This window comes from Homo sapiens, chromosome 11, assembly GCF_000001405.40.
Source record: "Homo sapiens chromosome 11, GRCh38.p14 Primary Assembly".
Classification (NCBI taxonomy): Eukaryota; Metazoa; Chordata; class Mammalia; order Primates; family Hominidae; genus Homo; species Homo sapiens.
In genome coordinates, this window is record NC_000011.10 from 123,441,582 (window position 1) to 123,464,059 (window position 22,478).

General features: G+C 44.9%; 1 protein-coding gene across 23 annotated transcripts in view, besides 1 other annotated feature; it reads left to right on the plus strand.

Moving 5' to 3' along the window:
* The window catches only part of GRAMD1B (GRAM domain containing 1B), a 269,346-nt gene that overhangs the window by 83,160 nt on the left and 163,708 nt on the right, over positions 1 to 22,478 (plus strand). For 4 of the 23 annotated variants that reach the window (XM_047427327.1, NM_001387034.1, XM_047427325.1 and 1 more), the window contains exon 1: positions 13,062 to 13,248. The exons of the other annotated variants lie outside the window; for them this stretch is intronic. The gene's annotated coding sequence lies outside the window, so the exon portion shown is untranslated. Of the gene's footprint in view, positions 1 to 13,061; positions 13,249 to 22,478 lie in introns of those variants that run through there. 23 annotated transcript variants of the gene reach the window in all.
* Positions 1,660 to 2,639: an enhancer, noted in NCBI's record as "NANOG-H3K27ac hESC enhancer chr11:123313949-123314928 (GRCh37/hg19 assembly coordinates)". NCBI's record gives its function as "activates a minimal SCP1, AML or CMV promoter by ChIP-STARR-seq in primed H9 embryonic stem cells {active_cell/tissue: H9 hESC(primed)}" and the evidence as "EXISTENCE:reporter gene assay evidence [ECO:0000049][PMID:30033119]".

Consider the following 22,478-nt stretch of genomic DNA (forward strand, 5'->3'; position numbering starts at 1 on the left):
GACCAGTCTGGGCAACATAGTGAGACCCCCACCTCTATTATAAAAGAAAAAAAAAGAGAAAAAAATTAGCCAGGCATGGTGGCATATACCTGCAGTCCCAGCTACTTCAGAGGCAGAAGTGGGAAGATTACTTGAGCCTGGGAGGTTGAGGCTTCAGTGAGCCATGACCACGCCACTGCACTCCAGCCTGGGCAACAGAGTGAGACCCTATCTGAAAAGAGAGAGAGAAAAAAAAGTCAACATGCTATTTGGAGGGGAGAAATATCCCGACTATATCAAGGGCATGTTTGGTGTATTATCTCCTGGTGTTTTTTCTCATTCAGATTTTCCTTTTATTTGAGAGACTTTTTTCTTCTGTGCCTTGCACTTCTAGAAGGTAAGGGAGAGTGTTAGTCCATGCGTTGAGGATAGAGAATTTGAAAGGAAAGATCAAACTGTTTTTTCTTTCTCACAGTCAACACAGAACATTTCTGTGACCAGATATGTGGGGTTTTCTCCCCACACACCAAGAAGTTCTCCAGTGGACACAAACTGGGTGTCTTATAATTCAATTTAATTCTGGCACCTTCTGCCTGGAGATGGTGTCAGATTCCACAGGTTCAGGGCTCAGTCCTCTAAGATTGCCCCCACTTCAGATGCCAATCACAAGTTAGAGCTACCTGTACTTTTTCTTTTTTTATTTTTTCTCTATCTGCATGTTGCATCTGAGATCTATACTTCTGACCAACCAACTATAAACCAGAGTTCCCGACTCCCTTTTAGGGTTCGATTAATTTACTAGAGCTGTTACCAGAAAGGGGTCCCATTCCAGACCCAAAGAGAGTGTTCTTGGATCTTGCACAGGAAAGAATTCAGGGCGAGTACACAATGCAAAGTGAAAGCAAGTTTATTAAGAAAGTAAAGGAAGGCTGGGCGCGGTGGCTCATGCCTATAATCCCAGCACTTTGGGAGGCCAAGGTGGGAGGATCACTTGAGGTCCAGAGTTCAAGACCAGTCTGGCCAACATGGCAAAACCCCGTCTCTACTAAAAATACAAAAATTAGCCAAGTGTGGTGGCAGGCACCTGTAGTCTCAGCTACTCAGGAAGTTGAGGTGGGAGAATTGCTTGAACCTGGGAGGTGGAGGTTGCAGTGAGCCGAGATCGCACCACTGCACTCCAGCTTGGTGACAAAGCGAGATACCATCTCAGAAAAAAAAAGTAAAGGAATAAAATAATGGCTACTCTTTTTCTGGTTATTTCTTGAGCATATGCTAAACAAGGGGTGGATTATTTATGCCCCCCCCCACCCCTTTTAGACTATATAGGGTGAGTTCCTGACATTGCCATGGCATTTGTAAATGGTCATGGCGCTGGTGGGAGTGTAGCAGTGAGGATGACTAGAGGTCATTCTCATTGCCATCTTGGTTTTGGTGGGTTTTAGCCGGCTTTTTTACTGCAGTCTGTTTTATCAGCAAGGTCTTTATGACCTGTATCTTGTGCCAACCTCCTATCTTATCCTGTGACTAAGAATGCCTTAACTTACTGCGAATGTAGTCCAGCGGGTCTTAGCCTTATTTTACCAAGGCGCTATTCAAGATGGAGTTGCTCTGATTTAAACGCCTCTGACAGAGCTGCTCACAGAATTCAGAGAAACACTTATGTTTATAGGCTAATAATAAAAGATATTAAGGATACAGATCAATAATGAGATGCAGAGGTACATAGGTGTAGATGAAAAAAGTCAAACTCTGTAAAATATTTAAAGAGGTTTATTCTGAGCCAAATACAAGTGACTATGGCCCAAGGCACAGTCCAAGGCATCAAGAGGTTCTGAGAACATGTGTGCAAGGTGGTTGGGTTACAGCTTGGTTTTACACATTTTAGGGTGATGTAAGACAATAATCAATACATGTGAGGTATATATTGGTTTGGTCCAGAAAGGTTGAACAGTTCGAAGCTGGGGGCTAGTGTTACAGGTCATTGGTGGATTCAAAGATTTTCTTTTTTCTCTTTTTTTTTTTTGAGATGGAGTCTTGCTCTGTCACCTAGGCTGGAGTGCAGTGGCACGATCTCACTCACTGCAACCTCTGGGATTCAAGAGGTTGATCCCCTCCCAGGTTCAAGCATTCTTCTGCCTCAGCCTCCTGAGTAGCTGGGGCTACAGGTGTGCGCCACCACACCCAGCTAATTTTTGTATTTTTAGTAGAGATCGGGTTTCACCATATTGATCAGGCTGGTCTTGAACTCCTGACCTTGTGATCCACCCGCCTTGGCCTCCCAAAGTGCTGGGATTACAGGCGTGAGCCACTGCACCTGGCCCAGATTCAAAGATTTTCTGATTGGCAAGTCAGAAAAGAGTTAAGTTATTATCTAAAATCTGGAATCAGTAGAAAAGAGTGTCTGGGTTAAGATAAGGGGTTGTGGAGACCAAAGTTCTTATTATGTAGATGAAGTCTCCCACATGGCTGCCCTTAGAGACAATGGATGGCCAGTATTTTGTATTCAGACCTTTAAAAGGTGCTAGACTTTCAGTTAATCTCTTCAGGATTAGGAAGGTCTGGAAGGGGAAAAGTCTAGTTATGTTAATAGAGATTCTTTACAGATGCAAATTTTCCCCACAAAAGATGGCTTTGCAGGGCCATTTCAAAATATAACAAAGAAACATATTTTGAAGTAAAATATTTCAACTTCCTTCTTTATCGTAATATTATGCTAGAGTCAGGTTGGAATTTGTTGTCTTATTGCAACATAGTCTGTTTTGCCACTCTTAAGATTTCTGTTTTGGCCAGGCATGGTGGCTCACACCTATAATCGCAGCACTTTGGGTGGCTGAGGTGGGAGGATCACTTGAGCCTGGGAGGTTAAGGCTGCAGTGAGTTGTGACTGCACCACTGCACTCTAGCTTGGGCCTCAAAAAAAAAAAATTCTGTTTTCATGTTAAAGCTGGTCAGTTGTGCCTGAGCTCCACAAGGAGGAGAGTATAATGAGGCATGTTTGAGCCCCCACGTCTTTCCATGGCCCGAATTAGTTTTTTTTTTCTTTGGGTCCCCTTGGGTCTCCTAAAGTGGTGTCCATTCAGTCAGCTGGGGGTTTTAGAATTTTAGCTTGGTTTACACAGGGCAAGGTATTGCAGGGGGTTAGATGGGGCATGGATCTCCCGTGTTCACCCTGGACACACCACCCTCCCAGCACCTGCACGAGTTCAGCAACCCAGAAGCTCAGCAAAGCTCCATGTCCAAGAGTTTTCATAGAGCTTGATCTTCAGCCACACCTCCCTCTCTCTTTTCCTGGAAGTTTGTAGGTGGAGCTGAGAGATCCAACCTTCTAATCCTCTAGTCACTTGGTCTTTCTTGGTCCTTCCTCCCCATCTTGAGGCTCCCCAGGGGCTGTATCCTAAGTCATTTTCTTAGCATAAACTCAGGTATTATCTATGGGGCTCATTACAAATAACAAGAGACACTTCTGTCACTCAGGAAAGTCCAAGGGTTTTAGGAGTTCTGGGACAAGAACCAGGAAAGGACCAAATATATTTCATCTCATACTACAGGAAGTCTGTGAAATAAGGAGGAAGGTACATTTCTGAAGCACTATTTCTAGAGAAGGATCAGGCTGAGATGCTTCTCCAAAGTGGGAAGAGTGTTGTCAGGTATTTCTGCCACTTAACCTTGTCGTGTTCTTTTGCCCGCAGGAATGTCAGTGAGTGCCAGGCTGACCCCTCAGAGCAATCTGCCTTAATCTAGAGAGCATTCGTGTTCTGGCTGGATCATTACACTTTGGAGCTCTTTTTGACCTTTTTGTTGATTTTCAGGGTTGGATGGAATGGCAACCGTAAAGGTCATTCTGTACAGGGTGGAGCTTCTCCTGGAAGAGTTTGCCCTTAACTTAGGTGACAACATGTGTTTTCTCCACCAGTGTCTACGATGAACCACATCTTCCTGATCAGAAAATATCACTTTAAAAAAAAGACTCTGGGGCCTGGCGCAGTGGCTTACCCTTGTAATCCCAGAACTTTGGGAGGCCAAGGTGGGCAGGTCACTTGAGGTCAGGAGTTTGAGACCAGCCTGGCCAACATGGTGAAACCCCCTCTCTACCACAAAATACAAAAATTAGACAGGCATGGTGGCACGCGCCTGTAGTCTCAGCTACTCGGGAGGCTGAGGTGGATTTGAATTGCTTGAACCTGGGAGGCAGAGGTTGCAGTGAGCTGAGATGGTGCCAGTGCACTTCAGCCTGGGGAACAGAGTGACACTTGTCTCCAAAAAAAAAAAAAAAAAAAACAAGACAAACAAACAAAAACAACCCCAGGAAAGAGGATTGGTTGCACTGTCTTTCTTGGTTATATCTTTTTATGTTTTCAAGACATACTATTGGGAAAGTTCTACCTAAGATCTAACTGAAATCCCCCACAGTACAATCCACACTCATGTTCTCTTGTTTTGTGAAGATGGAAGAATACCTAGTGGATCTTTGTTTTTGAGAGTATTTCTCCCAAGACTCACTGTTGCTCAGCTTGGCCTGTTGCTTCCAGATTCCGAGGAAGGTCCAGGCTTTGTACTTGGACCTCACTGGTTCTCTAGTAGGGTCTGTGAGCCTCTGCAGACTTCTTTTATTATTATTTTTTTTAGATGGAGTCTCTCTTTGTCGCCCAGACTTGAGTGCAGTGGCATGATCTCGGCTCACTACACCCTCCACCTCCCAGGTTCAAGAGATTCTCCCGCCTCAGCCTCCCGAGTAGCTGGGATTACAGGTGTGTGCCACCACGCCCGGCTAATATTTGTGTTTTTAGTAGAGATGGGGTTTCACCATGTTGGCCAGGCTAATCTCGAACTCCTGACCTCGAGTGATCCACCCGCCTTGCCCTCCCAAACTGCTGGGATTAGAGGCATGAGCCACCACGCCCAGCCCTCTGCAGACTTCTTGGAGGAGTTTTCAGCCATTGTCAGCCATGTATGTTTGAAGGCAGGGCTGTCTTAGAGGTTAACAGAGAGGACAGTCGCCTGCCCATTCAGAAAGTTCTCAGAACACTGAAAATTTCTCTCTCTCTGAAGTGCCTTCTCCATGCTTGGATTGCTTCTTAAAATGCCTTTTGCTTCACTGCCAGAGAGATGCGACTGAAAATGCAGATAACTCAGGAGAGGTAATTCTCACGATTCATCAGACACTTATTGTGCGCTTACTGGGAACCTGGCACTGTTGCTGTGTGCTTGGGATACAAAAATGGATGCAAGCTGGGCATGGCGGTGTGTGCGTGTAGTCCCAGCTACTTGGGAGGCTGAGGTGGGAGGATAACTTGAGCCCAGGAGTTTGAGACCAGCCTGGGTGACAGAGTAAGACCCTGTCTCGGAAGAAAGAAAGAAAAGAAAAGAAAGGAAAGAAAGAAAAAGAAAGGGAGAAAGAGAGAAAGAGAAAGAGAGGCAAGAAAGGCAGGAAAGGCAAGAAAAGATGGTTACAGATGTCCCTTCCATTGGGGAGCTCCCAATTGAGTGTGTGGGAGATCACTATGTAAAAGTTAATTTCAGTGGCATATGGCATTCAGACTAAAGCATGAAAAAAAAATTGATCTGAGGACAGGATCTGCTGGGTGGGAGAGGAGAAGAGGGGCTTAGGGCCTTGATTTTACCAAATCTTCACCTATTTCACTCACACTCAGCTGCCACCTGTCAGCACCTGTTTCTGTCAGACAGACGGGTCTCTCAGAGAATCCAGTCATCCTGGTAGATGGGATTTGTGAAATTATTTCCACCTTCAGAAAAACTGAGAAGTCTAGGGCCATGAAGCTGGTCAGTGACAGAGGTGGATCTAGAATACAGGTCTCCGGCAACCAGAACAAGGGTTCAGTTTACTGTGTTTCTCAGGGAGCCCATATTCATCCAGGAAGGAGCCGTATCTTCAGGCAGTGAGTCATGACGCTCAGGCTGGGCCCCTCCATCTGTGGGGACAGGGTGACAGTTTTTCCTAGGACGACTGCCCCAGCACCAGTCCTAGAGACAGGCTGAGGCAGCATGGGTTGGAGGCTCTGGTTCTGCTAATTTTCTCGCTGTGTGGTCCTGGGCAGATTACTCACTCTCTCTGGGCCTCAGTGAGATTATAAAATGGAGAGTGTACATTTCTGTTTCATCTTGTTAGACAAAATTAAGCACATGTGTCTGAAGAGTTATGCTAATGCATATATTAGTTTACAAAAGCAAAGACATTTGTGCCTATCTATGAGGCCTCCAAGTCTGCTTCTCTGGTTAGTGGAGGCTGGAAGAGTGATTTATTCCTTCTTTGGTTATTTATGAGATGTTGCTTTTCTGATCTATTGATGGGTGCTGAAAAACTGCCTGTAAACCTAGTTTGTTTTTTTTAACCTCCCACAATAGTTATCTTAACCTAGTGTTTATAGTTTAAGGGCTGCTCTCATCTGTATGTCCCTTCAGTGTTGGCCTGCTTAAGATTCCGACTCCAGGTTTCTTCTTTTATATATGTATTTAAAAAAAAAGAGAGAGAGAGAGACAGGGTCTTGCTATGTTGCCTAGGCTGGTCTCAAACTGCTGGACTCAAGCAATCCTCTTGCCTTGGCCTCCCAAAGTATTGGGCTTCCAGGTGTGGTCCACAGAGCCTGGCCCCAGGTTTCTTCTTATTTCTCCTCCTTTTCCTCCTTTTACCCTTTCTCTCGCTCACTCTCTTTCTCACCCTCCCCCTTGTACTATTTTTTTATTATTTTTTTTTGAGGCAGTCTTGCTCTGTTGCCCAGGCTGGAGTGCAGTGGCCCAATCTCGGCTCACTGCAACCTTTGCCTCCTGGGTTCAAGCGATTCTCGTGTGTGCCACCACACCCAGCTAACTTTTGTATTTTTGGTAGAGACGGGGTTTCGCCATATTGGCCGGGCTGGTCTCATACGCTTGGTCTCAAGCAATTCGCCCGCCTTGGCCTCCCAAGTGCTGGGATTACAGGCATGAGCCAGCATGCCCAGCCTCCACTTTCTACTTCTAAATCCATATACTGTCCTGGGGCGATTTCATCCATTCTCTTGGCTTTAATTATTCCTGTCTGAGACCTCATATTTTTCCTGGGCCTTAGGCTTATACCTCCACCTGACTAATGGGCAGTTCCACTGCGATGTTCTTCAAAACTCAGCTTGTCTTTTTGTAATTGAACTCATTATTTTTCCCTTCAAACCAGTTCCCTCCATTCTGTTACTTACATTGGGGCTTGGTACTTTTTGTTTTCACGAGGCTTCTCTCCCTCCAAGCAAATGTTCCTCAAGCCTGCCTTCTCAGCTCCATCACCATAGCCGGCTCTCACGTGTATTACACAAGCATCCTGACTCCATCACAGCCCCTCTCCTGTGCTTCTTCTCTCTGCAGCCAGAAAGGTCTTCATAACCTCACTTCTGTTCCCCTCCTGCTTCATCCACCTGCTGCTCTTGTGTGCTCTGCCTCCAGCCAGTCTGACCTTTTAGTTCCATGAATGGGATGCTCTCTTATTTCCAGGTTTCATCAACGTTGTTCCGTCAGACAGAATTCCTTTTTCATAACACTGACCTACTTTGCCACCGTAAGGCCTTTTCGTTTGTTTAGTTAGCCTTTCCTCTAGGGAATGGTTCTTGACTGAGGTCTTCATTATGTCTGTGTTTCTGAAGCATCCTGCACTGGAGTGTGATAACGTGCTCGCATTGTATCGTTTATTAGATCCTACACACTGAAGGCAGAGTTTATTTTATTCAGTGTTTGTTTTATTCAGTGCCTGCTAAGCTCTTTGCATGGAACATGGTAGGAGCTCAGTAAGCATGTGTTTAGGGAATGAATGAATAATCAAATGATGAAAGCCTCTAAGGAAATTCGATTTTCATGGAATTCTACGATAAATCATTTTGCAAAGCAAGGAGTCCTCTTGAAGCTGAATAATTACCCCTTCATATGCCATTTATGTAAATCTGTACTATTATGTATTGGCTTGTTTGTCTGTCTTTAACCTGTTGGTTTCTGTTCTGGTTTTAACTGGGTTCTGAGTCTTTAGTAAGTGCCCAGAGAGCAGACACTGCTTTTTATTTTTATTTTTTCATATATCACCCAGGGTGGAGATTGCTGGTGAGATATTGACTCACTGCAGCCTTGACATCCTGATCTCTTGAATAGCTGGGTCTGCAGATGCATGCCACCATGCCTGGCTTTTTTTTTTTTTTTTTGAGACAGGGTCTAACTCTGTCACCCAGCACTCAGGTTGGAACACAGTAGCACAATCATGGCTCACTGAAGCCTCAACTTCCCAAGCTCAAGTGATCCTCCTGCCTCAGCCTCCTGAGTAGCTGGGGTTTACAGGCATGTGCCACTATGCTCGGCTAGATTTTTCTACTTTTTGTAGAGACAGGATCCTGCTATGTTGCCCAGGCTGGTCTTGAACTCCTAGGCTCAAGGGATCCTTCTGCCTCAGCCTCCCAATGTGTTGGGATTACAGGCATGAGTCACCACACCTGAACCAGAGACTGCCGTTCTAAAGGTAGTCTCTATTCAGGGGAGCCAAACTTGGCATAGTTAGGTGGAGAGTGATCAGTCTTTCCCAAAATGAGGTTCCAGAGAGCACAAGCACATTGGGAACAATATTTTGTTTGATGGTGGACCCAGGGCCCTGGTATAGTCTGCAAACAGCAGTTAGGTTTTTTTCCCCACCAAAGACCCATAACAGTTTTGAAGAGCATTTATTTTTGGAGCTGTGGTTGCCATGGTAATGCAATACTTTTTCTCGTCTTCTGATTCCAGGTCAGGGCAACAGTTGTTCCTCCTGCAGGGGAAGAGGATTTTGGAATATATGCATCCTTCCACCTTTTTTCCCCAACTAACTAATCCAACAAACATTTATTGAACATACACTACATGCCAGATACCGTTCCTAACACCAGGAATAATAGTGAACAAAATAGAGTCTGCCCTACAGGGGCTTCTCTAGTGGGGTAGAGAGACTGTCAGCAAATTATCAGTGCAATATTGGTCCCTATTTGTTTAAAAGCGAATTATTTGGCCACATCACTGAAAGGGAATTAGTTTGTTTTCTAAAATTTGGAAATCAAGAGTTGTAAAAGAAGTGTCTTCCATACTGCTTTGAAGAGCGATATGGGAGCGGGGAGGAGCTGGTGGCTAAATGTGGGAAGCTGACTCTCTTCCCACTGATAGTGGGACTTCATTGGATTTGTGTGGGCACTTTGGAATGCAGATGCATTTGGTGCTCTGACATCATCTAAGACCTTGGGAGATGACAGGATTAAGCTGGGTCTCTCTGCAGCTGTCAGATGTCAAAGCTGTTGCTCTTCTGGTGTTTGTGGGAGTCTCTTGGCACTAACAGAAGCCAAGAGCCAAAGAGCTGCCAGAAATGGCCCTTTATTATCCAGTGTAATGAAAGCCTGGAAAACAGGCAGGGAATGCCATTTATTAAGCTACCACAGAGTGCGGTACCTTAAACTGGGCTCCAAGAAGGAAGGTAGAGAGGAAAGAGGGGGTACTGATACCTGCTGTTGGGAGCGTCCCATCAGGGTGGCAGAGAATGGCACTCACAAGGACACAAATGAAAATGATGCAGACAATAGCAATTTATCACAATCTCTTAATTTGAGTAGCACTTTACCTTTTCAAAACAATTTACCAGGCCATGGGCTCTCCCACGGAAGGGACAGGGTATAATTATTCTTTGTGATTGCTGTAGCACTGGCACACACCAGGATGTCCAGTGACAAGCGTATGGCATGACAATCTATTACCTCATTTGTTCCTGCATCCTGTGGGGCAGATGTAATGAGTAGACCCACCTGGCACTTAAGGAAATGGGGATTCTGAAATATGCCCACATCCATACAGCTAAGTAATGCTAGAAACCAGACTCAAAAAGAGGTTGTGTCATGTCACTTTTAATTTAGGGCCCTTTCTTTGTTGTACCATACGTGTGTTGTATCTGACATTATACTGAGGCTTATGGATACATGCTGACAGTGTGGGTAATTCAAATCCACAGGAAATGAAACATAAAGACCAAACATTTTAACTAGCAGTTTCGGTGTGCTCCACTGTTTGAAAGCAGCAGCTTCTGTGAACAGCTTTGACTGGATTTTACCTCCCCTGCTCCCCTTCCCATTTGGAGGGACACATTACACAGTCAGGCTGCCAGAGAGAGGAGAGTCCAAATCCCGCCAGCCAGCACTTGTTGCTTGGCTGCTATGTGCTGGCCACTGAGGTGTGGCTGGCTTCTTCTCTTGAAAGATGTAGTCTAGTTTATTTATTATTCATTCATTTGTTTGACAGCAGATTATATATATATATGTATGTATGGTGGTGTTCTCTCGCCCAGGCTGGAGTACAGTGGCATGATCATAGCTCACTGCAGCCTCTAAATCCTGGGCTCAAGTGATCCTTTTGTCTCAACCTCCTGAGTAGCCGGGACCACAGGCACGTGCCACCATGCCCAGTTAATTTTTTAGATTTTTATAGAGACAGGGTCTCACTATGTTTTCCGGGTTAGTCTTGAACTCCCAGCCTCAAGAAATTCTCTTTCCTTGGCCTCCTAAAATGTTGGGATTACAGATGGGAGCCACTGCACCCAGTCCGACAGCAGATTTTTTTGACCATCCGTTAGGCAGTCAGTGCAAGTAATTGTGAACAAATGTAAAAATTTAAAATGTGACAGTCAAGTCCAACAGAGCTTAAAGGAAAAACATATAATAAAAATGTGACAAGTGCATCTAAGAAGAGGACAGCAGTAACTGTTACATTTGGTAATCCTGGCAATTAGCCAGATCTTGTGAAGGACATTTTTTCTGGTAGAAGACCTTCCTTGGCCAGGCATGGTGGCTTATGCCTGTAGTCCCAGCACTTTGGGAGGCCGAGGCAGGTGGATCGCCTGAGGTCAGGAGTTCGAGACCAGCCTGGCCAACATGGTGAAACCCTGTCTCTACTAAAAATACAAAAATTAGCCAGGCGTGGTGATGGGTACCTGTAATTTCAGCTACTCGGGAGTCTGAGGCAGCACAATTGCTTGAACCTGGGAGGTGGAGGTTGCGGTGAGCCAAGATGGTGCCACTGCACTCCAGCCTGGGTGACAGAGTGAGACTCTGTCTCAAAAAAAAAAGACCTTCCTTAATAAGTGGAGTTGGATAGACATTTTGCTTTGGAAAACAGAAGCTATTTACTCTCAATATTAGGTCTACTTCATTCATTTCACAGAATAGGCAAAGATGTCTGGGGCTTTGCTCACTAGGGAATTCTGGCCATGGCCTTTTGCTTCTCTTCTAACCAGGCCTTTTGCTTCTCTTCTCCCTTTTTGCCAGATGTAGAACCACCAGGCTTCCCTTTCATTTCTCCAGGAAAGAAGGGGTAGGGAAGTGAAAGTTCGGTCTTGTGTTTCACAGGCACCACTGAAGTAAAGAATTCAATATTTAGATAATTTTGTGTTACTTTCAGTGCATTTTTCTGACCTTGTTCCTCATAACCATGGAGAATCTAGAGTTCTAGAGCATTTTACCTTAATTAATGACTAGTTTAAGGCCTTTTTGGGTGGCTAGTTTGGAAATGACTCATATTCATGGTCTTGATCAGTTCAACAGTATCCTTAGAAGGTTAGGAAGAAACAATTGTCAGTGTGCAAATAACTCCAAACCTCTAATCCAGCTTAAATTGAAAAATACAGTGGAATATATACATGCAGAAACATAAACGTTTTCTAATAAATATATGTATATATCTAATACACATCAATATATATTAAATATAAGTATATATGTATATGCAAGTATATATATCTTTTTATTTTAAGACAATCTCACTCTGTCATCTAGGCTGGAGTGCAGTGGTGCAATCCTGGCTCACTGCACCCTCTGCCTCCTGGGTTCAAGCAATTCTCATGCCTCAGCCTCCCAAGTAGCAGAAATTACAGGCACGCGCCACCACACACAGCTAATTTTTGTATTTTTAGTAGAGACGGGGTTTCGCCATGTTGGGCAGGCTGGTCTTGAACTCCTGACCTCAAGTAATCCTCCTGCCCCAGCCTCCCAAAGTGCTGGGATTACAGACATGAGCCACCGTGCCTGGCAATATATAGGTATGTATTTTTTAAACCTGGATATTCCTTAGGGCAGGCTAAGTACTTTTTGGTCCTGGAATACTGACTCAAATTTCAGAAAGAAATTTTAATTTGCCTGTTGCATATGATACTTGTTTTAATACCAGCAATTGGACTCAAACCTATGCACCTCAGGGAGATTTCTGGATCTTGCCTGTTTTATTATAGGGGAGGACAAAGTAAACCCAAAGAGGGCTGAGCAATGGAGCATCTGAAGTCCCAGGTCGCTACTGATTGTGAATTCGAGGGTGATCAGGGACAGCTAAGAAACAGAAATGTGTTTCTATTTCTTCCAAGGCTCTGTATCTTTGTAAAATCCCGTTGATAATGGCCCATGCCAACACTGTTCCTCACCTATCCCCACCTCTAGCAAGGCCAGGGTAAATACTTTCCCAGCAGCTGAGTGTGACTTTTATCCTGGTAATAATTTCAATCCTGCTTCCATGGAGTAAAATTCCAGACTGGGACAAGCGTTCTTTCCGCAGGCAGCTTTGCATCATCAGCTTCCTCTTACACACATTGGTCATCATGATAATACCTACCTTGAAGACTGGTTTGCAGATGAAATAAGATAAGGCATCTCTCCAATTTCCTGACATCCTGTAGATACTCACTTCCTGGTTACTTCCTTTGTCCCTCTCCCCTTTAAATTTAAGAGAAGGAGGTGTTTTCATATGGGTGTCATTTGGGGCCAAGCTTATCTGATCTGAAGGACAGGCCCCAGGGCTTGCGTTGTTTTTTCGTCATTGCCAGGCACCTTTGCTGAGTCATTTGGGGTTGGCAGACCTGGAAAAGACAGCGGTTTAGAGAGTGGTTAGTGCCGTGATCAGCCAACGCAGGCTCTATTGTCTGTTAGTATTTCCTGGTGCACTTTTGGAACCTGATCTGCCCTTCTCATGGTTAAGGGCAGGGGATGAGTAACTAGCCATGGGGATGTTCTGCATATCTTGCCTTGTGCTGAATTTCCTATAAAATGGCTTCATGAAACTTTGATGTCAGCTTAAGCAGTACTGCCACCAGGCTCTGCGGAGGGCCCTAAGTGAATAGAGGGCAGCAGTGTCTTCCAAATTTGAAATGAGTGACAGTGGGTTATAATTAGGGGAGAAGATGCTCTTGATGCTACTGAGAAGATACAGAGTGAGAACTTTTCTTAGAAAAGTCTGAGGTTGTAAAGAAGAACCAAGGTAAGATTTAAAGATTGCCTCTGAGAGATAGGAGACATATGTGGGAATAGGACTGGTTTTACATGTCCCCTAAAATGCTTATTCCATCTTTAGTGAGGCTGTATTTGTGGGACTAGGTGCATGTAATTCTTATGTTTAAAGAAATGCTTTAACTTGTTATATCTGAAGGATGTTTTATGAGCACTTAGTCTTTTACTAGTTTTGTGATGTTTTATCCCCATCAACATCAATGACAAGTATTGTTTGAATATGTACTTCATGTAAGATGTATAAGAGCCCTACTTAATATTTAGGGAAGTAGGAAATTGAACATTTAAGTCTATTTTTTGCCCAACATATAGAGATGAGAGGGAAAAATATTTGATTAAACTATAATCTTTGTGTCTATTATGACTAGGTAGAGATTCCTTAGGATGAACTAAAATCAAAACAGATTTCACTAGAATTTATTTTTATTTTTTATTTTATAAAAACGAGGGTCTTACTATGTTGTCCTAGCAACATAGTAAGGAGTCTCGAACTCCTGGGCTCAAGTGATCTGCCTTCCTCGGCCTCCCAGTGTGCTAGGATTACAGGCATGAGCCACCGCGCCTGGCCAGATTTTACAAGAATCTGCTTGTGAATTCCCTTCAAAATTAAAATTACACTGGAACCCCTTCTGATGATATGCATTCCACTCAATTGATCATTCATCCTCTACTTGCTATCGAACTGCTGCGCTCACCATGCAATACGGCATAGTTTGCAAAGCCACGGACTCTGGAGTGATCTGCATGGATTCTGTCCAGGCTCTGCCACTTACTCTCTGCCCTTAACATATTTTTTAGCTTTTTTGAGGCTACATTCTTCAGCTTTATTGTCTTTATAACACTTTGTACTTCTGAAATTATCATCTTCTTTTATTTTTCTCTGTTGATGATCTGTCTCTCATTTCTGCATCCCTTCTGCTAAACCATAAGAATTTGAGGTCCTTGAGAGCAGGGACCTTTGCCCCATCTGTTTATTACTGTGTTCCCAGTGGTTAGAAAACAGCCTGGCATATAGAAAACACTCAACCAGGCCGGGTGGGGTGGCTCGCTCCTGTAGTCCCAGCACTTTGGGAGGCCAAGGTGGGCGGATCATTTGAGGTCAGGAGTTCGAGACCAGCCTGACCAACATGGTGAAATCCTGTCTCTACTAAAAATACAAAAAATTAGCTGGGTGTGGTGGCACACACCTGTAATCCCAGCTACTCGGAAGCCTGAGGCACGAGAATCGCTTGAACCAGGGAGGTGGAGGGAGGTTGCAGTGAGCCAAGATTGCACCACTGTACTCCAGCCTGGGCGACAGAGAGAGACTGTCTCAAAAACAAAACAAAACAAAAAAGAACAACACACTCAACAATGGCATATCCATTTTATAGAATGAGCAACTGTTAACAGTTATCCTTCTTGTCAGCAGAAGCACCAGAGGGTTAAGAAAAAAGTTTCAGATGCCTTCTCTGCCCACCAGGAGTTTGACATTCTTGTTCTCTAAGGGCAGCATTGGTGTTGTGGAAAGAGCCCCGAGAGTCAGCAAACTCGAGTTTTATTCTTTGCAGTGCTACTAAATACCTCTGTGACTTTACACTTGTCATTTACCTTCTTTGGGCTGTTGGTTTCCTGTTTGAAAAAGAAAAAATTGGGGCCAAGTGTGGTGGCGCATGCCTATAATCCCAGCACTTTGGGAGGCTGAGGCAGGCAGATCACTTGAGCCCCTGAATTTGAGACCAGCCTGGGCAATGTCATGAGACCTCGTCTCTACAGAAAATACAGAAAATAACCAGGTGTGGCCAGGCGCAATGACTCACGCCTATAATTCCAGCACTTTGGGAGGCTGAGTCAGGCAGATCACTTGAGGTCAGGAGTTTGAGACCAGACTGGTCAAAATGATGAAACTCCGTCTCTACTAAATATACAAAAATTAGCCAGGTGTGGTGGTGCACACCTGTAGTCCCAGCTACTGTGGAGGCTGAGGCAGGAGAATCACTTGAACCTGGGAGGCAGAGGTTGCTGTGAGCTGAGATGGCGCCACTGTACTCCAGCCTGGGCGACAGAGGGAGACTCTGTCTCAAAAAAAAAAAAAAAAAAGAAAAAGAAAAGAAAGAAAGAACTAGGTGTGGTGGCACATGCCTCATGCCTGTGGTCCCAGGTACTCGGGAGGCTGAGATGGGAGGATTGCTTAAGCCCAGGAGGTCAAGGCTGCAGTGAGCTGTGATGGCACCACTGCACTCTAACCTGGGTGACAGAGAGAGACCCTTTCTGAGAAAAAAAGAAAGAAAGAAAGAAAGAATTAGAACAGTTTATCCCTCGAATCCCTTCCTGCTGTGAAGTATCGGCTCATGATTTTATTAATAAAATTAGAGATTGTTATAAAATGATAACCTGGAAAGAGAGTAACAGTTAAAGGACACACTTATCAAATGAGCATACAGGAAGTGAACCAGGAAGCCACATTTCTGTGTCTCTGTTAGCTGCCTCTAAACCACGTTTGTTCTTAGACTGCTATTCTTTCCCCACTGTCCAGCCAGCGTCAGCCTACCCTCGTGGTTTAGTTCACGTGTTTTAGAATAGCCAGCAACTCCCTTCTTTCTCAATCTTTGTGTCTTCCACTTAGCCTTCAAACAGGCTTAATGGAAGATTTCTTAGCTTAGCGTCATGGGACTTTTAAGGCTAGACAGGGCCTATGTGATTGTCTAGCACACTCTGTTCATTTTACAGATAAGCAAACTGAAGTTCAGAACAATGGGGCAACTTGCTCTGTGTTCTACGGAGTCCATGACAGAGTCAGTGCTGGACCCAGCCTTATGAGCCTGGCTCTGGTGCTATTGCTCCACTGTGCTCCGTGCTCTATTTTCCACATATTTTATTTTATGTATTTGTTTTTTGAGATGGGGTCTCACTCTATCGCCTGGGCTGGAGTGCGCTGGTGCAATCACGCTTACTGCAGCCACGACCTCCTGGGCTCAAGTGATCCTCCTACCTCAGCTTCTGAGTAGCTGAGACTACAGGCATGCACCACCGCACCTGGCTAATTTCTCCACTTTTTTGTAGAGACAGGGTCCTGCTATGTTATCCAAGGTGGTCTTGAACTCCTGGGCTCAAGGAATCCTCCTGCCTCGGCCTCCCAAAATGTTGGGATTACAGGCGTAAGCCACCATGCCTGGCTGCCACATATTTTAAATAGATGAGTACCACTTTATGCATGACTCCACGATAAGTGCGTATGTATGCTACACAGAACCTAGTTGGAGTTCTGAGAGAGAGAGAGAGGAGAGGGGAGGGGATTAGGGGAATTGGCTTACATGATTATGGAGGCTGAGAAGTCCCACAACACACCGGAGACCCTGGGATGCTGGTAGCGTGGCTCAGTCCAAGTCTGCAGGCCTCAGAACCAGAGAAGCTGATGTTGTAACTCTCGGTTTGAGGCCAAAGGCCTAGAACTCAGAGAGCCACTGAGGGACAGAGAGAGGAAGAATATAATCCAACTCTGGCAGTTCCATTCACATATTCACCTTTTCTCAGTTTTTGTTTTCCAGGCCCCCAGCAGAATGGATGGTGCCCACTCACAATGAGGGCGGATCTTCCGCACCTAGTCCACTCAGACTCACATGCTGATCTCTTCTGGCAACATCTTCACAGACACGCCCAAAAATAATGCTTTACCGGGTTCCTAGGTAGTCTTTAATCCAGTCAAACTGACACCTAAAATTAACCATCACAATTACCTTCTCACTAAAATCAATCTGAGAAGAAAATGGTCATAAAGAATTTGATGCAAATCCCTTTTTTGATTTATAGGATGAACAGTATCCTAGATAAGGAAACAGTGAAAGGCTGTTTTGTTTTTTTTTTTTTTTCCCCTCCTCTTCATACTCCCCAATGTGAGTAATGGGCAAAAAATTCCAGGAGAATGGGAGCATTCTGAGTGATAAGAACAAGTATCTCTCAACATGTAGAGTGTGTATACGGGTGGGTTATTTTCAAATTTCAAGTCTGCAAATGGGTAGTTCCAGGTATGGCTTGGTGATTGAAGTGGAGGTTCTTTTGGGGCTAGTCCTTTGTGCTCCTGTAATTTCCCCCCAACTCTGAGTCTGAGCTCAGTGAGAACAATCACTTTAATGCTTAATGCACACCGTAATACACAGCGGAGTTAACAGAATATTCAGACAATCACAGACACAATGGCCTTCCTAGCCATGAGTTTGGAAAAGTGTTTCTAGGAGCTTGTTGTAGCAGAGGCTGTGTAGATGACAAAGAACATGCACTGCATTGTAGATGGGTTATAGTTATGGTGACCAGCCCTTGGAGTTAGGGCAGATTGGGGTATTTGATTGCAAAGAAATAAGACACTTCTATATATTTTTTTTTAATTTGCTGATCATGGGAAAATCTTCATGAACCCTTATCTTCTTTTTTTTTTTTTGAGATGGAGTTTTGCTTTTGTCACCCAGGCGAGAGTGCAGTGGCATGATCTGGGCTCACTGCAACCTCCATCTCCTGGGTTCAAGCAATTCTCCTGCCTCAGCCTCCAGAGTAGCTGGGATTACAGGTGTGAGCCACCATACCTGGCTAATTTTCTATTTTTAATAGAGGTGGGGTTTTGCCATGTTGTCTAGGCTGGTCTCCAACTCCCGACTTCAGATGATCCACCCACCTCGGCCTCCCAAATTGTTGAGATTACAGGCATGCACCACTGTGGTCGGCCATATTCATGATTTAAAGGAATTGAAGATAAAAGAATTGAGTTTGATAAAAAAGAGAGAGAAGAATATTATTTTCTTCAAATACTGACTTTTAAGTGAGATAGTGTGCAAAAAATCCATATACTAGGTACTCAAATACCTGTTAGTTGACCCTTCCCCTATGATGTGAACTGGTTATTCACAACTATCTTTATACTTTAAGTCCTGTTCCTAAACACACACTGAGGTTCTGGAGGGCAGGGCTGGGTCTTAGGTAAATTTGTTCTGCTACCTTCTCACTGGACACCTGGCTCACCCAAAGCTTGCCTCTCATCTGTTTTCTGTGTACAGATTGCCATTCAAAAAGTGTTTTCTGAGTGAATGAATTATTTACTTTATGGAGCATCAACATCCTTTTTATGTTCTTGTCCATTTTTATGTCCTTGTCCTCACCCTTGTCCCTTCAAGTTCAGTGGGTCCCAGAACTGAACTTGAAGAGAGTTAATTGGATATAGGCCAGGAGTGTGATTGGACATACGTGTGTGTGTGTTTCATTAAAATTCTCAAACTAAAAATAAATGGTTTGTGGATTAGTCAACTTCTGTTTTCTTCTGCTCGATATCCTGAATTATCCAGTACCTGTTGCCTCCATGCTACTGAAAAGTGACCATGTGTGGTATGACAAGCTTATCAGAAGGCTGTCAAAGTGCTTGGCAGAGAAGACATGGAGTTTAATCCTGAGTGGAAAATGGCATTGTGGAAACAGATGAATTATAGTAGATGAATATAGTAGAAAATATAGTAGATGAATTAAAGTACATGAATTATCTACTTTGTGGACCATCAAAATCCTTTTTATGTTCTTGTCCAAGTTCAGTGGGTTCCGGGACTGAACTTGAAGAGGGTTAATTGGATATAGGCCAGGAGCGTGATTGGGCAGATTTGTGGCAATTACACCTAGACACCGTGACTCCAGCCCCAGTCAATGCGGGGATTTCTCCCCAGGCCCCCCAGGGCACTCTGTGAGTGTTAATGACCAGAGTTTTTGGTTAGGACTGTTTTTATGTCTTCCAATTGGAAAAAACAAGATAATGCTTTTACCATAAGCCAGTTTTTCCCGGGGCTAAGGGCAAATGAAATTGGATGGTGGTTGGGTCAGCAGGATTTGGGGGGCGGACAGGAGTGGGGCAGGGAAGGGGAGGCAGGAAGCTGAAAGGATTCTTTCTGGAAAACAGCACAGCTTGCGGGCTGCTTGTCCTTGAGCTCCGAGGTCACTAGAGCGGTTGGTCTTTGATAGGGTTTCTGCATGAATCCCCTGCTCCTACGTTTCCTTTGTCCCTTTAGGACCCAAGAATCCATCTGCCTTCCCAGGTGCATCAGCTTCTCCTTTCCTTGGGCGCCTCTTTCCTGGGCCGTCCAGGAAGAACACAAGGCTCTCTGTGTCTTTCCCACCTCGTGACCTTTTGGAATTCACATATTTTTGGCTTTTTAAGAGGTTTGGCTTGTGTTGACTAGAGGGAAACAGGTGATAGCAAAATTAATAGCCAGTTGGGAAGCCATAGTCATAAAAAATGTCTTAAAAACATATTGAGTCTTAATTGAGTTTGGTCTTCAATCAGATGTGAATGGACCAGTGCTCCTGTTGCCTGGGCTGCTTCTAAAATGTTCTTGTCAGTTCAGTCGTCTTTCTGGGGAATCAGCTGCCCCGACTGACTCCAGGTTGGCTCCTAAATCAAGCTATGTTGACTTCAGCTGGCAGAAAAGCCAAGCTGGCACTGCTACCAGGACTGTTTCCTAAGAGTCCCCCAGGGCACCAGCATTTCTGTCTGCAGCTGGCCGAGCCCTTGTGATTCCTGTCCTTGTGGCTAAATGAGGTGGTGCTGGCCTCTCTGGTTCCCAAAGACTCCCCCTTGGGCTGCAGGCCAAACGTCACTGGCCTCCTAGAAGTCTCTCCAGCCCTGGCTCTAGCTCTGGGAAGTCCTGGCCTATGCCTTGGCACACTGCTCTGTCTTTTTTGGATTGTCTATGGTTTCTTCCCCAGCTGGTTGTTGAGACAGCTCTACTTTTTGTTGTTGTTGTTGTTTTGTTTTGAGACAGAGTTTCGTTCTTGTTGCCCAGGCTGCAGTGCAATGGCGTGATCTCGGCTCACTGCAACCTCTGCCTCCTGGGTTCAAGTGATTCTTCTGCCTTAGCCTCCCGAGTAGCTGGGATTACAGGTGTCCACCACCACACTCGGCTAATTTTTGTATTTTTAGTAGAGACGGGGGTTTCACCATGTTGGCCAGGCTGGTCTCAAACTCCTGACCTCATGCGATACCCCCGCCTCAGCCTCCCAAAGTGCTGGGATTACAGGCATGAGCCACTGCGCCCGGCCAAGATAGCTCTACTTTCAAGTGCAGGTTTTTTTTTTTTCTGGTATGGTCATTTGTTTATTTCTTTTTTTTTTTTTTTTTGAAATGGGATCTTGCTCTGTCGCCCAGGCTGGAGTGCAGTGGCACGGTCTTGGCTCACTGCAAGGTCCACCTCCTGGGTTCACGCCATTCTCCTGCCTCAGCCTCCCGAGTAGCTGGGACCACAGGCGCCCGCCACCATGCCTGGCCAATTTTTCTGTATTTTTAGTAGAGATGAGGTTTCACCATGTTAGCCAGGATGGTCTCGATCTCCTGACCTCGTGATCTGCCCGCCTTGGCCTCCCAAAGTGCTGGGATTACAGGTGTGAGCCACCGTGCCGGGCCAGTCATTTGTTTATTTCTATGGTTTCACCTGTGGCTTTGTGACCTCAGTGGCAGGTGCCATCCCCTGACAAACTGCCTCAAACTGGGCAGAGCAGACTCGTTACTTCTTGTTTCAAGGTTTTCACTTGCCTTGGACTTCCCAGATGCTCTTGCTTTCTAGCTGAGGGCTGCCACCTGCAAAGCAGAGACGGCTGACACTTGTGGCAGAGTGAACATTCAAGCTCAGCTCAGCCCCTGAGTCCCAGCCCAAGCTCAGAGTCCCTTCAGTCTCATCAGTGAGGTTATCCCTGCCACCCACCCCTTCTCCAAGTGAATGCTACGCTCCAGCACTGGAGTGTGCTTAAGGTGAAAGAATAAAGAATTCAGGGACAAAAAACCTTAAACTGAAATCCCTGTTTCTCAGATGCTTGAAGGCAGCATGCTCGTTAAGAGTCATCACCAATCCCTAATCTCAAGTAATCAGGGACACAAACACTGCGGAAGGCCGCAGGGTCCTCTGCCTAGGAAAACCAGAGACCTTTGTTCACTTGTTTATCTGCTGACCTTCCCTCCACTATTGTCCCATGACCCTGCCAAATCCCCCTCTGTGAGAAACACCCAAGAATTATCAATAAAAAAATAAATTAAAAAAAAAAAAAAAAAAAAAGAAATCCCTGTTTCTTAGCTTACCAGCACAGTTTGCTCATAGACGTGCCATGTATCCCTGTGAAGTCTTATTTTCTTCATCTTTATTATTTATTTATATTTATTTATTTATTTTAAGATGGAGTCTCACTTTGTCACCCAGGCTGGAGTGCGATGGCGCGATCTCGGCTCACCGCAACCCCTGCCTCCTAGGTTCAAGTGATTCTCATGCCTCAGCCTCCCGAGTAGCTGGAACTACAGGCATGGGCCACCACCACGCCTGACTAATTTTTTATATTTTCAGTAGAGTCGGGGTTTCACCACGTTGGCCAGGCTGGTCTCCAACTCCTGGCCCCAAGTGATCCACCCGCCTTGGCTTCCCAAATTGCTGGGATTACAGGCATGAGCCACCGTGCCCAGCCTATTTTCTTCATCTTTAAAATGGGGATCAGAGTGTATACACTTCTTATTTACCTGATGAGGGTAAAAAGTTGGAAGCATATACATGGGAGCACTTTGTAGATGGGGAAGAAGTGTTTTAATGGGAAGGTTTATTCCTAGTATTAAATACAACATATTAGTATGCAGTATCTTGAATGAATTGAAAAAAGCAGCCAGAGTTTGCACTAAAGGAGGTGTTCTCTGATGTAGCCAACAGGTTCTCTCCACCACACGGGCAGAGCTACCGTCTCACTGGTAATAACTGTGCCAACTTGGATTTGTCATTAGTCCTATGGCTCAAAGGAGACAGAGCTCTGGGTCAGCAGAGAAAAAAGTCAATGAGTTAATATTTGAATGCACCAAGGGAAGGGACAGGCCTCTGTGTGACACAGCGCCCAATAGGCCAGGGTGGAAGATATGGATCATATAGAAGGGAAATGAAGAGAAAGTGGAGAGCACAACATGCACGAAGTTGCAGGAATGAATGTGCATGGGAGATTTGGGGAGCACGAGCCCCAGAAAGGAAAACTGTGTAAAGGCCTCAGGAAGAGCTTTCTGCTGGGGAAGTCAGTTTCATGTAGTAAGGCCTTGTGTGGCAGGCAGAAAACTTTGGACTGTATTCTATGACATTATAGGAAGACTTCAAGAGACTGTAACTTGGGAAGAGACTTGACTAGAGCTGTTTTAGAAGATAACAGGGGTGGGCCATGCCTGTAATCCCAGCACTT